This window comes from Homo sapiens, chromosome 15 (genome assembly GCF_000001405.40).
Source record: "Homo sapiens chromosome 15, GRCh38.p14 Primary Assembly".
Classification (NCBI taxonomy): domain Eukaryota; kingdom Metazoa; phylum Chordata; class Mammalia; order Primates; family Hominidae; genus Homo; species Homo sapiens.
In genome coordinates this window covers 51,310,939-51,323,961 of record NC_000015.10, presented here as the reverse complement: position 1 = coordinate 51,323,961, position 13,023 = coordinate 51,310,939, and the positions used below count along the sequence as shown (strand labels likewise).

The 13,023-nt window shown below is 46.1% G+C and overlaps 1 protein-coding gene, 1 long non-coding RNA gene and 2 other non-coding genes across 7 annotated transcripts in view, besides 9 other annotated features; 2 read left to right on the top strand and 2 right to left on the bottom strand.

Annotated features, from left to right (window-relative positions):
• Window positions 1–13,023, top strand: part of CYP19A1 (cytochrome P450 family 19 subfamily A member 1) — a 130,540-nt gene that overhangs the window by 14,635 nt on the left and 102,882 nt on the right. For 2 of the 4 annotated variants that reach the window (NM_031226.3, NM_001347248.1), the window contains one exon: window positions 38–146. The exons of 1 other annotated variant lie outside the window; for it this stretch is intronic. The gene's annotated coding sequence lies outside the window, so the exon portion shown is untranslated. Of the gene's footprint in view, window positions 1–37; window positions 147–5,464; window positions 5,530–13,023 lie in introns of those variants that run through there. One more of the 4 variants, NM_001347249.2, reaches the window with a different exon arrangement.
• Window positions 1,417–4,034, bottom strand: LOC112268146 (uncharacterized). The gene is made up of 2 exons (XR_002957708.2): window positions 2,923–4,034; window positions 1,417–2,353 (listed from the first exon to the last, which is right to left on the bottom strand). It is a non-coding gene; the product is annotated as an uncharacterized LOC112268146 (long non-coding RNA).
• Window positions 4,754–5,439: a promoter, noted in NCBI's record as "-515 to +170 promoter". NCBI's record gives the evidence for it as "EXISTENCE:reporter gene assay evidence [ECO:0000049][PMID:7776980]".
• Window positions 4,763–4,780: a protein binding site, noted in NCBI's record as "AP-1 arom site". NCBI's record gives the evidence for it as "EXISTENCE:protein binding evidence [ECO:0000024][PMID:8923461]".
• Window positions 4,960–5,439: a promoter, noted in NCBI's record as "-310 to +170 promoter". NCBI's record gives the evidence for it as "EXISTENCE:reporter gene assay evidence [ECO:0000049][PMID:7776980]".
• Window positions 4,982–5,001: a protein binding site, noted in NCBI's record as "GAS element". NCBI's record gives its function as "mediates induction by JAK/STAT signaling pathway" and the evidence as "EXISTENCE:protein binding evidence [ECO:0000024][PMID:7608217]".
• Window positions 5,030–5,047: a protein binding site, noted in NCBI's record as "I.4-Runx2-1". NCBI's record gives the evidence for it as "EXISTENCE:protein binding evidence [ECO:0000024][PMID:20231365]".
• Window positions 5,058–5,081: a protein binding site, noted in NCBI's record as "I-4-Runx2-2". NCBI's record gives the evidence for it as "EXISTENCE:protein binding evidence [ECO:0000024][PMID:20231365]".
• Window positions 5,128–5,152: a protein binding site, noted in NCBI's record as "GRE". NCBI's record gives its function as "mediates induction by glucocorticoids" and the evidence as "EXISTENCE:protein binding evidence [ECO:0000024][PMID:7776980]".
• Window positions 5,352–5,368: a protein binding site, noted in NCBI's record as "RORE". NCBI's record gives its function as "positive regulation of promoter activity" and the evidence as "EXISTENCE:protein binding evidence [ECO:0000024][PMID:19439415]".
• Window positions 5,415–5,434: a protein binding site, noted in NCBI's record as "Sp1-like site". NCBI's record gives the evidence for it as "EXISTENCE:protein binding evidence [ECO:0000024][PMID:7776980]".
• On the bottom strand, window positions 9,853–9,928 carry MIR7973-1 (microRNA 7973-1). The gene has a single exon (NR_107012.1). It is a non-coding gene; the product is annotated as a microRNA 7973-1 (primary transcript).
• MIR7973-2 (microRNA 7973-2) lies at window positions 9,855–9,930 on the top strand. Its single transcript, NR_107013.1, has one exon. It is a non-coding gene; the product is annotated as a microRNA 7973-2 (primary transcript).

Below are 13,023 nucleotides of genomic sequence, written 5' to 3'. Positions count from 1 at the left end.
TTCCGCCCTGGCACAGAGTCCCGTTGTCCTTTCATAGGCGGTGTCAGAAACCCTGTGGTGAAATTCAGCCTGTGGATTCCAGAAATTTGGAGTGTTCTTGGGGGGAAAAATCCGCACACACAAAGCAACATTTGGAAATCCCTGTGGTGAGTTGGGAGGTGGGGAGGGGATGCAGTATGGGAAGGCTGGAAGGGAAAGCGCCGGTGTACATCCCTCCCTCTTCTTTCCAGGGCTCTGAGTGTCAGGGCTGAGATGAAGATGACACCCTGGCAGAGGAGGAGGCAGGGTGCTGGGGGCAGGGCATGGACATTGAGGTCTGTGCTGAGCTTTACAGTTTGCAAGCACTTTCATGTTATCTTGTGGGGGTAGATCAGTGACTCCATAGCCATTTTATAGGCATAGACACTGAATTTCACAGTGGTTAAATAAATTTCCCAAGACCACATGGTTGGAAAAAAAAAAAAAAGTAGAGACACATCCAAATCCAAAAATTTTGTGCTGGAAGGTTTTCATGCCATAAAACAGTTCCATCTCCGTTTATCATTGATCCCACAAGTTCTACTATTTACTTTACTTTCTTCGGAAGCTTAGTTGATTTTTTCCTTCTATAGGACATCTGCACTTAAATTCTTTAGGAAGTATTATGCCTGAGTGTGGCTACTCCCTACCTGAGAGCAGCTTCCTATAAGAAGGAGCTTCTCAGCAGGCAAGGAGAGAGAGGGCTGGAGAAAGGCCAGGCATGGTGAGCAATTGTGGGCCACCCAAGGGCCTGGACTCTCAGGGTGGTGATAACATAGTGGTAGGGGTTTGGGGAGAGGCCCAGAGACAGTGGCCCTGGAGGCCACTGCAAGGGAAAACAGGAAGAAGGCAGTAGGTCAAGTTCCTTCTTTAAACCAAGCCAACTAAGGCTTGTCCAGGGCCCTTCCTGTAGCTCCAGCATTCATTTGGTGCAGAAGAAAACACTGAATTCCTTGGAGCCATTATTGAGGCTTGAAAGTTTGGAAGCTCTGTGTTAGCAGCATTTTAGGGACAGTTCAGCCAGAAGTGGATGTGTTCCCTACAGACATGAAATTCTAGCAACTGCATTGTTTCCTAATGGGATCACAGGTTATGGACTCATGGAGCTGAAAAAGTCTCCACAATGGGAGAGAAACTGAGAGGTGCTGAATCCAGCTGGTGAGACCCAGCACAGTAGAGGCTGGCCCAATGCCACCCAGTGAGTTAGTGTTCCCTCAAGATTGTTACAGTTAAATGCACTTGCAAAATCCTAGTGGGGAAGCGGGGGTGGGGGTGATGCAAGGATGGAAAACATTTTGTCAAGCATCAGATTATGACAAGGGCTCTTCCTAAAAGTTAAGAATGTGATGACTGAAAGGGGCCTAGGATATATTTTATATATTGGAGGTGGTACTGGCATTTGAGTATTTCTAGTTTGCTTTTATTATCTGGATGATGAACAGTAACAACAGCAGAAGCAGCAATAAACTCTTACATAAAATTTATCTCTAAATGCCAAAGCAGTTTGTTTCTCTAAATATAGTGTACAAAAAGAGAGGTATTTACATAAAGTGACTCGCTATTAATTTATTAATTGTCACTTGCACTTCCCAATCAGGTAAGGATTGCACAGTTCAGGCGAAAGCCTCCACTGGCTGCTTGTTCTCTGCTCAGCTCTTGGGCACAGACACCTGCCCTGCCTTGTGATGAGGAAGCCTTCCTCTGACAAGGGCAGAGATCTCCATACTCACCAACAGCTCCTTTCCATGCACAGGGAAGCAGCCAGGGGCTCGCAGGTTTTCACTCAGCCTATTTCAAGCCCAGCCTAAGCAGCCCCTTTGTCTGTGGAGCCAGGTCCGACCCATGGCCCGTGGCGGGAAGGCCACACCAGATGCTGATGTGGGACGGGAGCTGTAGCTCCATCTTCTCATTCTCTTGCAGAAGGGGATGAGTGTGGTGCTCCCTGACTTAGCAGCTTCTCTCAGGAATTTTATTTATTATGTTTTTTTTTTTTTCCCCTAAACAGCATTTCTCTCCGTTTAGTTAACAGGATGTTGATGGGTTTCTCTTCCTTTTGGGGTCCTTCCCTTTCGATGAGGGCCCAGGCCTTCCCCCTTCCCAGCATAGTCCAGCCTGCCTGGATACTCTTTCATGGGCCTCTGGGGCCAGAGGACAAGTCCCTAGTGCTGTCCATCTGCTCTGTGCATGTCTGTTCAATTCAGTAGATGTTCACTGAAGAGCCACTCTGGGAGGATGCAGATTAGGCCTGGAGAATGTAGCAATGGAAATGTTTGATATCTGACTTCATGGAGCCTGTAGATGAGTGAGGGACATAAGTGGGACCTTAAAAAATCATCTACAAGACAGAGAGAGATATGATCAAGTTAGAAGGTCTTTTCTTAAAGATCCCAGAGATAATCTACCCCTAGATGTGCAGACGAAATTAGGGCCAGAGGGGGTGGATGAACTGGTTTGAGGACTCTAAGGATGGCGTAAGTGATTTCGAATCGAAAGATGGGGAAGGAGCTCCTGGAGAAGGTGGCCACTGGGCAGGGCATCATGAGGGAAATTGGATTGTGGCAGAGGGAGCAGGGTGAGCACAGGCTGGGAAGGAAAGTGTGGTGGGCTCCCCCAACAGTAGGCAGTCATGGGGGATCTAGGGGCATGGTGGGTGGATGGGGAGGGGTGCTCACAGGGTCCATCAGTGATGATTGTGAAGGGCCTGAATTATGTGTGCAATGGAGAGGCACTGGTGGGTCACAGATGACTTCTATGTGGGGCTTGGCCAGCAGTGTGCAGGGTGGTTGGGAAGTTCAAAGGCTGTAGCTTGGGTGTGGGCAAGAGACAGCAAGGCCCTGGATGAAGTAAGCAGGCTGGAGTGGGGAGACAGGAATGGGTTGAAGGCACAGGGTGGAGAGAACCCACCCATTGGGTTCCAGCTGCACTGTCCAGTACAGGCCGTGAGCCACAGGTGGCTGTCGAGCACTGGAGTGTGGCTGGTCTGAATTGAGATGTGCTGTAAGGATAAAACACACACCAGATTTTGAAAGCTTGATGTGAAGAATGTACAATTCTCAATCATTTTTAAAATATTGATTACATGATGAAATAATTTCATTTAGAATATGCTGGGTTGAATTAAATATATTAAGATTAATTTCACCTGTTTCTCTTTTTAATATGTGTGTTACACAATTTAAGATTACTTACATGGCTCACATTCTATCTCCATTGGACAGCACTGGGTTAGAGGGGAAGAGGATAAGGCAGAGCTTTGGGGACAGGAAGGAACAGGGCTGAGAGGAGGACCTGAGAAGTGGGGTTAAGGAAAAAGGAGAGATCATACAGATTTGGTGTCTTCCCAGATTGAGACAGCTTTTGGGCCTCTTGGGGCCACAAGGAGCTTCAGAAATTGCCAGTGTCTTTACATGGAGTACCTGAAATGTCCATCTGGTCTCCTCACTCACCTGGCACCTAACCATGTGCTGTTTTGTACTTGACTGTTGCTTACCTGTGTCTCTAAGTCCTTGCCTCAGCCAGATAAAAAGCCTTCTCAGGGCAATGCCATTGTATCCTGTCTGTTCTCTCCAGTGCTTACTTCACCCAGGGCTGGGGGTAGCAGGTGCTCCCTGGAACTTGGCAAACATCCTCATATTGGGAGGAGCTTGGCTGGTTTTCCTTGATCTCCCTCTTCCCAGTGTGTGGCTCTTGACAACTGATTGGACCCCAGACTTAAGGTAAGACTATACAATGTGATGCTCACAGTATGCACATGATGCAGCTGTGAGCAGGGATGGGAGCCGAGGATGGTGCCTGAGCACAGAGGGGAAGAGCATTGGATGGGGAGATTTGAGTTGGAAGGTCAGATCCTCAAAGGTCTACTCATTGGAGTCTCCACATCTGTGAAAGGAGGGGATGATATCTATCTCCTAGTGTTGTAGAAAGTAAGAGTTAATATACGTGAACAAATGATGGCTGGCATTCAAGTGTCGCTCTGTGACCCTCAGAAGGTGTTCACATCCATGAGCTCATCTGAACTTCACAGCAGGGCAGGCATTATTATAATTTCCATTGGCAGACAAGAAACCTGAGGTTCAGAGAATACAAATGACCTGATAGAGATCACCTGACTATTAAGGTAGAGCTGGATCTGGAGCCCAGCCTGACGTCTGCCACTGTCTTTTGCTGTCCACTTAAAAGAGCAGCTTGCACACGTGCAGGGCTACATAGGGTTCAAAGGCCTTTCATGCCCATTAACTGCTTATTCTTCCTAGAAGGATGCATAAGCCCAAAGTTTTGCTATATATGAAGACATGATTTTCATGAGATTCCTGCAGCCAATGAAGAAACAAGCCTTCAGTAATCATGTGGATCCATGGTTTAGTTGTCCCTTATGGGTGACAGGTGATGGGTTATGAGGATTAGATAAGAGCTGTTTGTAAGAATGTCTACAAGGTGCAGTGACAGGCTCTGGTCAGATATTTTGATCATGCTACAGTGCATGAAATTGTTCATAAGAATTGTATGTGCATCTGTATCTAACAGGATCTGCTTATATCTTCAGAAAACTTTGTCATAAATTTAAATTACTTAAAGTGTCTGATCTTCAGATACTTTAAGTAGTGCATTTGAGAATGGGAATGTTGATTACAGTGCGTATAGGGAAATAGATGAATATTCCATTAATAACTATTAAAATCTGCTAAAGCTTAGGCTAAGCTGAATATATTTAGTTGTAATAAAATTGGGTGAACACATTCCAACTTCAGCCTGATTAAGGGAAAGGGTGTAGGGGTGAGACACTTAGGCGGAGCTTGAAAAGGAATGGTGAGAGTTTGGCCAATGGGAAGGAAGGCTGTGCCAGACAGGAATAGTGTGGGCTGACGACAACTGAGGGCAAAGTGCTTGTCCCCTCATAGTTGCGCAATGAATGCAGAGGGGCTGAGGTTCATCTGTCGTCTTCAGCTCTGCAGGCTACATCTCAGGGTGTTTCCTGTGAAAGTTCCAGAAGAAAGCTGTATGGTCAGCTTGGGGAAATATGTGGTTCATGCTGGAATGCTGGACATACCACATTATTGGAAAGATGCACATTGAATGACCGACAAAATGAAACTCAACTTTCCAAATGCTGGTAATGAGAGAAGATTCTGTTCTAATGACCAGTTGTTTCCTGAAAGAATGTCAGCTCGATTCATAATGAATGCATTCTAACCATGACAGCCACAGTCAGGACACAAAAAACAAAGTGTCCTTGATCCCAGGAAACAGCCCTCTGGAATCTGTGAAATCTAGAAACTAGATTGGGAAAACTCTGACACCCCTGCCCCATGACCAACCAAGACTAAGAGTCCCAGGAAGATTGAGGTCACAGAAGGCAGAGGCCTGCCCCCTCTCCAGGAGATCCCTGACCCATGTGGGGTCATGGGCGGGGCATGAGTGATGTGATGGGAAACTGGCTCCTGGCTCCAAGTAGAACGTGACCAACTGGAGCCTGACAGGAGGTCCCTGGCACTGGTCAGCCCATCAAACCAGGTAAGTCCTTGGAGTCTGAGTAGGGACAAGAGACTGTTCTGTGCTTTGGCAGGGATCAGGAAGATGTTAGAATGTGGTTGTTGGAACTTATCTTTGGAGCTGAACAAACATGGCTTTGCATCTCCACTTTGCTATCAACTGAGTGGCTTTAATTAAGTGGCTTCATTTCTTAGATCCTCAGTTTCTTCATATTCACCTGTAAATTTTTTTTTTTACATTTTTAGACTGTTGAGGGCAGTAAATTAGATCATGTACATAAAGCACCGAGCACTGTGCTAGACACATTGGTACTTACTACACAGTGGGATAGCACCCCAGCTGTGACAGCCTTGTGAGGGGAGCTACACAGGAGGCCCAGGGAGAGTGCTCTGAGTTAAGGATAGGTCCAGATCCTACACTTCTAGCAACACCCAAAGCCCCCTCTTGAACATGTTGGGGTGTGATGGGGGTGGGGAGATACAGTCGTGTTCCCTGGCTGTGTCAAAGTGTGAAATCTTTATACTCCGTCTGCCCCAGATTCTCTCAAAGAGCACAGAATTGAAGGATAGCACTGGACCAAGTGTCAGGAGAATTGAGATGGGCTCTGCCACTCCCTGGCTGGGTGACCTTGGACAAGTCCTTCAACCTATTGAGGTCTGGGCTTCTTCATTTGTACATTGGAACAAGATTATCTGCTCTGTCACAGGATGAACTCCAGCCTCATTAGCCTGGCATTCAAGAACCTTCCATCATATTCCCTCACCACAGCTCCCATGAGTCCTCTTCATGCCCACATGGTTCTGCCATATCAAACTCTTCTGGGCCTTTCTTTCACCCCTAGACAGAATGTTCTTGCATTCTGTGTGGGGGTGAATGTTCTTGCCCAAATCTCTGTGTATCTAAAGCCCATATACCTTTGCATCCCCTGCAGCATCTTGCACAGGGGCTTGCATAAAGCAGATCATTGTTTTCTCAGTTAGGATTAGGTTTGGGGCAGGAAAACAAAAATAATATTTATTTAGCAAGTTAGAAGTGATTTTTCTCTTGCCGGGCGCAGTGGCTCACGCCTGTAATCCCAGCACTTTGGGAGGCCAAGGCAGGCCGATCACGAGGTCAGGAGATCAAGACCATCCTGGCTAACATGGTGAAACCCTGTCTCTACTAAAAATACAAAAAAAATAATAATTAGCCAGGCATGGTGGTGGAGGCCTGTAGTCCCAGCTACTCGGGAGGCTGAGACAGGAGAATGGCGTGAACCTGGGAGGCAGAGCTTGCAGTGAGCTGAGAATGTGCTATTGCACTCTAGCCTGGGCGATAGAGTGAGACTCTGTCAAAAAAAAAAAAAAAAAGAAGTGATTTTTCCCTTATGCCAAAAGAATCCTAAAAGGAGGGTAGCCCAGGACTGGGAAGGTGGCTCCTTGTGTTGGGGACCCATGCTCCCTCTGTCTTGCCACACCAGCACTCTTGGCACCCTACCTCATAGTCCCATATGGCTGCCTGGGTTTCAGACATCTTATTCTCATTTAGCCAGCAAAGGATGAAAAGGGCAAAGCATGCATTCTCTTCCTTAAGGGAGGCTTCCTAAATGCTGCACATGACACTTTTGCTTATAGCTTTTTGGCTAGAACTTAGTCACATGGTCATATCCAGCTGCAAGAGAGGCTGGGGAATATAGTTTTTAACTGCACATATTGCCATTCCTTCTTTCTTTCTTTTCTTTCTTCCTTTTTTTTTTTTTAAGAGACAGAGGTCTCCCCATGTTGCCCAGGCTGCTCTCCAACTCCTGGGCTCAAGCAATGCACCCACTTCGGCCTTCCAAAGAGTTGGGATTACAGGGGTGAGCCACCATACCTGGCCATATTGCCATTTCTAATAAAATTGATAGGGGAGACTGGGAGAACAGATATTCACAACCCATACAGTGCCTCTGCCACAGCTACTGAAAGAACCAAAAATATAAAAACTCACTAAGAAGTTTAAAGCCCTATCTAATATATGAGATTATTATTACAAAACACTTAACTCATTTTAGATAAGTTAATTGTCCTGACTTTTAGGTTGAAAACAGCCCAATTTTTCTTCACCTCTAGTGGAAATATGATGACATGTTTTTTCTTTTTTATTTTTTGTAGAGACAGGATCTCGCTATGTTGCCCAGGCTGGTCTTGAACTCCTGGCTCAAGCAATCCTCCTGTCTCAAACTCCCAAAGTGCTGGGATTAGAGACATGAGCCAACATGCCCAGCCAACATATTTTTTTCATAGAATAATAACTCAGAGTTGTAAGTGAAGATAAATTATTAGTCCTTCCCCTTACCTTACCACATTTTACTACTGAGGAAACTGAACTCCAGTGAGGCTAAGTGATGTGCCCATGATGGCACAGCTGAATGGCGAAGGAACCAGAACTGGGACTTGAGTTCCTGGACTCCATCAGGGCTTTTTCCTTGATGAGCAGCCCATTCAGGTTCTGCTAACTGTCACTCGGAAGCCTTGAATTCTGTGCATCTCCTAACCCTGCGTGAGAGCCCTGCTCTGCCAGCACCCCTGGAGGCAGATCCAGGTCACCGTGTTGTCAGCCACATTCTTGCCAGCACGTAGTTCAAGTTTCCATCTGAAGAGAGGGAAACATGAAGAAATAGAGGAGCGTGCTATTAAAATAACGAGGCCTTTTTGCTAAGAGCAAACAATCACTTCCTTTCCTTGGCACCCAGAATCTGCAGGGCCCTGAATTAGGCACTGAAGGGAGATCCAGGGAAGCATGAGGAATAGTCACTGCCCTTGAGGGCCTGGATGTATAGGTTCATTCTACTTTTCATTCATTTATTCAAGAATTATTTCTTGAGCCTCTACCAACAGCAGACACTGAGCCTGGCACTGGGTTTAGAGCAAGAACCATATAACTGGGTATACAACAGTAAACTGTGCAGATATGGTTCTTGCTCTAAAATTGCTTGTAGTCTAGTGAAGGACAGAGGCAAGTAAACAAGCAACTACAAAATGAAATGAAGATTGCAGTGATGGGGAGGGGAGGGGGTACTCTGGGTGTAGACTGGGGTAGGGTGGGCAAGGCTGAGTGGGTGAGATATCATTACAGTGGAAACCCGAAGACTGAGTATGTGTGAGCTAAGCATGCACCATGAGGGGTCTGGCAGTTGGGACGGAAGTGTACTCCCCATGGAGAGAATGTGCAGAAGCACGCATAACCTTCTGACCGGACTGCAGCAGGCCTGGGTGACGGTGGTGGTGAAGGTGGGGAGTGTTGAGAAACACAACCAGCAAGGTAGGCAGGGGCCCGTAAGTGAAGGACTTTGAAAGGCCTGTTGGAGAGTTTCTGTGTTATCTCAAGGCCAGTGAGATAAAGGGCTTGAAGCAGCAGATTTGTATGTTAGAGTCCTCTGGCCTCGGGGTAGAGAGTGGATGAAAGCAAGCAGGATCGGATTCAGAGAGGTCAATTAGGAGCTGTTGCCAGGGACAGTGGCTTGAACCAGGAAACAGCCCAGAGAGGTGCAGAGAGGTTGAGGAATTTGAGACATCTTTAAGAGGTACAACCAACAGGTTTGGAGACTGGGTCGGAAGTAGGAAATGAGGAAAATGGAGGAAACCAACACTTATGAAGAAACAAAGACAGAGGCTGACAAACAAAAGCAATAGCCATTCTCCAGGAAGAAAATGGTGGCATGACCATGTGTTTTGAGCAAGGAAAAATTGCAATGGGCTAGAGAGATTTTGAAGGACTTTCTAGAAGAGTTAGAATTGGAGCTGGGTCTCCGACATGGGTAGGATTTTGGTGGGTAGAGAGGACATTCCAGGCTAAACAATGATGCAAGTTAGAGTTCTAAGGCAGAACAGTGTGTGATTTGTTTAGCATGATTTGGTCATGGTTTTCTTGGGAGAGTCCCAAAGAACTGATTCTCCAGGGGGTGTTACTAAAACTCTTATTGAAAGGAGGGACTACAGAGATGAATCTCATCACTCTCCCAGAATGGCACAGAGCTTTTCATGGACCCCCGGGCCACCTATGTAGGAACCTCAGGGGGTCTGTGGACCACTAAAAGCCCAACATGCCTGAGACTCCACAGATACTGGCTTCCACCATGATAAAGGCAAAAAGTCCCTCTTTCCCAAAATCAATACTTTTATTCTCATAGGCCTCCTGCTGTGGTCTAGTCCCCATGTTGAAAGCTGCTGTCCCAGGGTGTTGCTTCACTACTTCTAGGCTCCTGCAGAGTCCTGCCTCATAGGCCGCACTGGTGAGTGAGGCCAGCAAACCCATCAGGGAGACTACATGAATCCAAGGCCGTGGAAGACTTAGGTTTGGATATTCCCTCTGCTCCCTCCTGGCTGTGTGACCCTAGAATAATTACTCACCCTCTCAAAACCGAGACTCAGAGACGTTGGGTAATTATTCTAGGGTCACACAGCGAGGAAGGAGGAGAGGGAGTATCCAAACCTAAGTCTGTCTGACAGCAAAGCCTGTTCTCTCCATCTCTCCAGGTTCCTAAGCCAGGTGAGCGTTGAACCTTTCTTGAATCAAGGTTCCAATTCCAAGGTAGGAAAGCACAGTCAGTCAGGGAAATATTTACACTGAGACCACGCACCCCAGCCCTTTCCCAACCTGCTCTTGTGTGATCCTTTTGAGGTTTTTTGTTTGTTTTGAGATAGAGTCTCACTCTGTCGCCCAGGCTGGACTGCAGTGGTATGATCTCAGCTCACTGCAACCTCCGCCTCCCAGGTTCAAGTGATTCTCCTGCCTCAGCCTCCTGAGTAGCTGGGATTATAGATGCCCGCCACCATGCCCAGCTAATTTTTGTATTTTTAGTAGAGATGGGATTTCACCATGTTGGCCAGGCTGGTCTTGAACTCCTGACCTCAAGTGATCCCCCCACCTCAGCCTCCCAAAGTGCTGGGATTACAGGCATGAGCCACTGTGCCTGGCCTTAAGTTTTTTATAGATGGGAAAACCGAGGTCCAAACGTGAGCAAGGGCTCTGCATGCTACCTCTCTATTTTCTCAGCCCCTTCTGCAGGCTCCATGCCATAAGAACATGGCTCCTAAGGTTCAGGCCTATGGCCCCAGTTTAGGTGGTGCCTCTGCTCTGCTCCCCACCACCCCAGCCTCCTATTTGAAGGCCAAGACTACTCAGCTTTGATTCAGGTTGAATGAGTCATCAAGGGTAAAACAAAGAAGAGAATAAAACAAAGAAGAGAAGGCCTATTCCCTTGCAGATGAAATCAATCCACTCACCTTTTGACATCTTTTTGTTCTAGAATGATGACAGTATGCAATGACTCAGAATCATCACACTCACAGAGACTACTTTGTATTTTTTCTTGCAAATGAAGAGACAATATGCCCAAAAAATGAGCTGAAAATGGCTCATGAAGGGAGGGAAGATGACCTCCAGCACACCAGGGCAGAGTGGGGGCCACATGAAGGTGCAAGAGTGGGAGGGAACCACAACGCCTTGGCAGAGAGGAGAGCAAGTGGGGGCCAAGCCACAAAGCTCTTCAAGGCCAGTCAACAGTGAAACCTGAAGGAGTCCCATCCATCCCCAAGTCTGCTTGAGTTAAAGCCCTGCACCCTCACAAGCAGCTGGAGGGAGGGGAGGAAAGATATTTTCAAAAGAGCCATCATATATGGGGTGTGGGAAAGAAAAACTTGCTGCGTCTAACACCAGAGAGCCTCTCCAAGCCAAGCCATCTGCCTCAGGGCAAAGGAGGGAATGGAAGCGGGAGAGAAGGGTTTGGAGCCAGCTCTCAGCAACATGTTTCTATCTGGAGAAATGAGCTGAGAAGATCTGAATCTTCTCCAGCCTGTTCTGCAAATGTGGGATAATCGGCCCCTGGCCCAAAGGCTGGTGCTCACAGCGTGGCTCCGGCATTACCCAGGACTTTGGTTCTTGGTGATGGGAAAGAGGACAAATTTGGAAGCCAGAGAAGCTAGGGCTGGATGGTCTGGAGGAAAACCTCCACTTCTCTCAGACTGTTTTTTCTGAGGAAACAGATGATTGCAACCTCAGAGGTTGGGAGGATGAAATGATGTAATGCATCTGGAGCTGCTCTGTAAACTGTAAAATGCTATGCAAACGGTGCTTGTTAATGTGTTTACATATATGGGTGAGTTAACATAGTCTGACAGACTGGACGCCAAACTCAGAGTCCAAGGCAATGGGGCATTATATTCTGTGCCTTAGCATCTGGAAAACATGATGAAATTGGAAATGCATTTATTGAAAATGAAAAGTTTTCTACAGAGCTTCCTGTCCTTTCCAATGAATTCCAGGCTTCCCATGGTGCTTGCAGGGCTCTGCCGGAAGCTGCTGGGAAAGCTGACTTCCATTCTGGTTGCTATGAACTCCATTTTTGGTTCTGTTCTGTGACCATCTTCATTTCAGTCACTTGCACCATTATAAGGATTGAAAAGACTCTTGGCAGAAAAGCAGTTTTTTGTTTCATAGCATTAGGGTTTGATATATAATATTATTTTTGAACAGAAAAATTTCACATAAGAGTTCATAAAGGGTGGTATTTTAGAGCTGAAGGGGCTTAGAAGACTGTCTAGTTCAACCCTGAGATTTTTTTCAGGTGAGGAACTGAGGCCCAGGCAGAAAGACTGGTTTTCTCCAGCCCTCACACATGTCAGTGAGCCAGGGTTAAAATCCCCAGAGGTCTGACTCCTATTCATGTGCTACTTCCCTTACCCCAGGGTCAAAAGCTCAGATGCTTTCAGAGTCCAGATAAGTGAGGAGGAGGGCATTGGCGGGTAGGAAGGTAGGGAGTTGTGGGACATTCAGTTTTGTTTACATTTATCCTGTTAGAGGTTTAACGAGCTACTTGAATCTTAAATTTATGTCAGTCATCAAATCTGGGAAGTTTTCAGCCATTGTTTTTTCAAATATTTTGTTCTATAACAATCTCTTTCTCCTTGCCTTTAAGGATTCCAATGACATGAACATTAGACCATTTGGTATTGTCCCACAGATCCTCGAGGCTTTATTCATTATTTTTCAAACACTTTTCTATCTTTCACATTGGATAATTTCTGATGATCTACCTTCTAGTCTACTGACATTACCTCTGTCATTTGCATTCTGCTATTGGGCCCATCCAGTGAATTTATTTCAGATATTGTGTTTCTCAGTTCTAATATATTGCCATTTGGTTCTTCTTTTATATAATTTCTATTGCTTGACTGAGAATTTCTATTTTTCCATTCATTGTAAGAGCATTCACCTTTATGTCACGCAGGATGATTATAATAGATGCTTCGGAGTTTTTTTTTTCCAGTTCCAACATTGTCTTATCTTTTCCCTTGAGAACTGGTCATGTTTTCCTGGTCCTTATCACTTTGGGTAGTTTTAAATTGTTTCCTGGACATTTCATATAGTATACTATGAGACTCTGGGTCCTGTTAAAATCATAAAGCATGTTGAGTTTTGTTTTGTTTTAGCAGGTAATCAACCCCGTTAAGTTCAACAGCAAGCTCTGTCTCATCTTGTGTAGGCAGTGGTCTC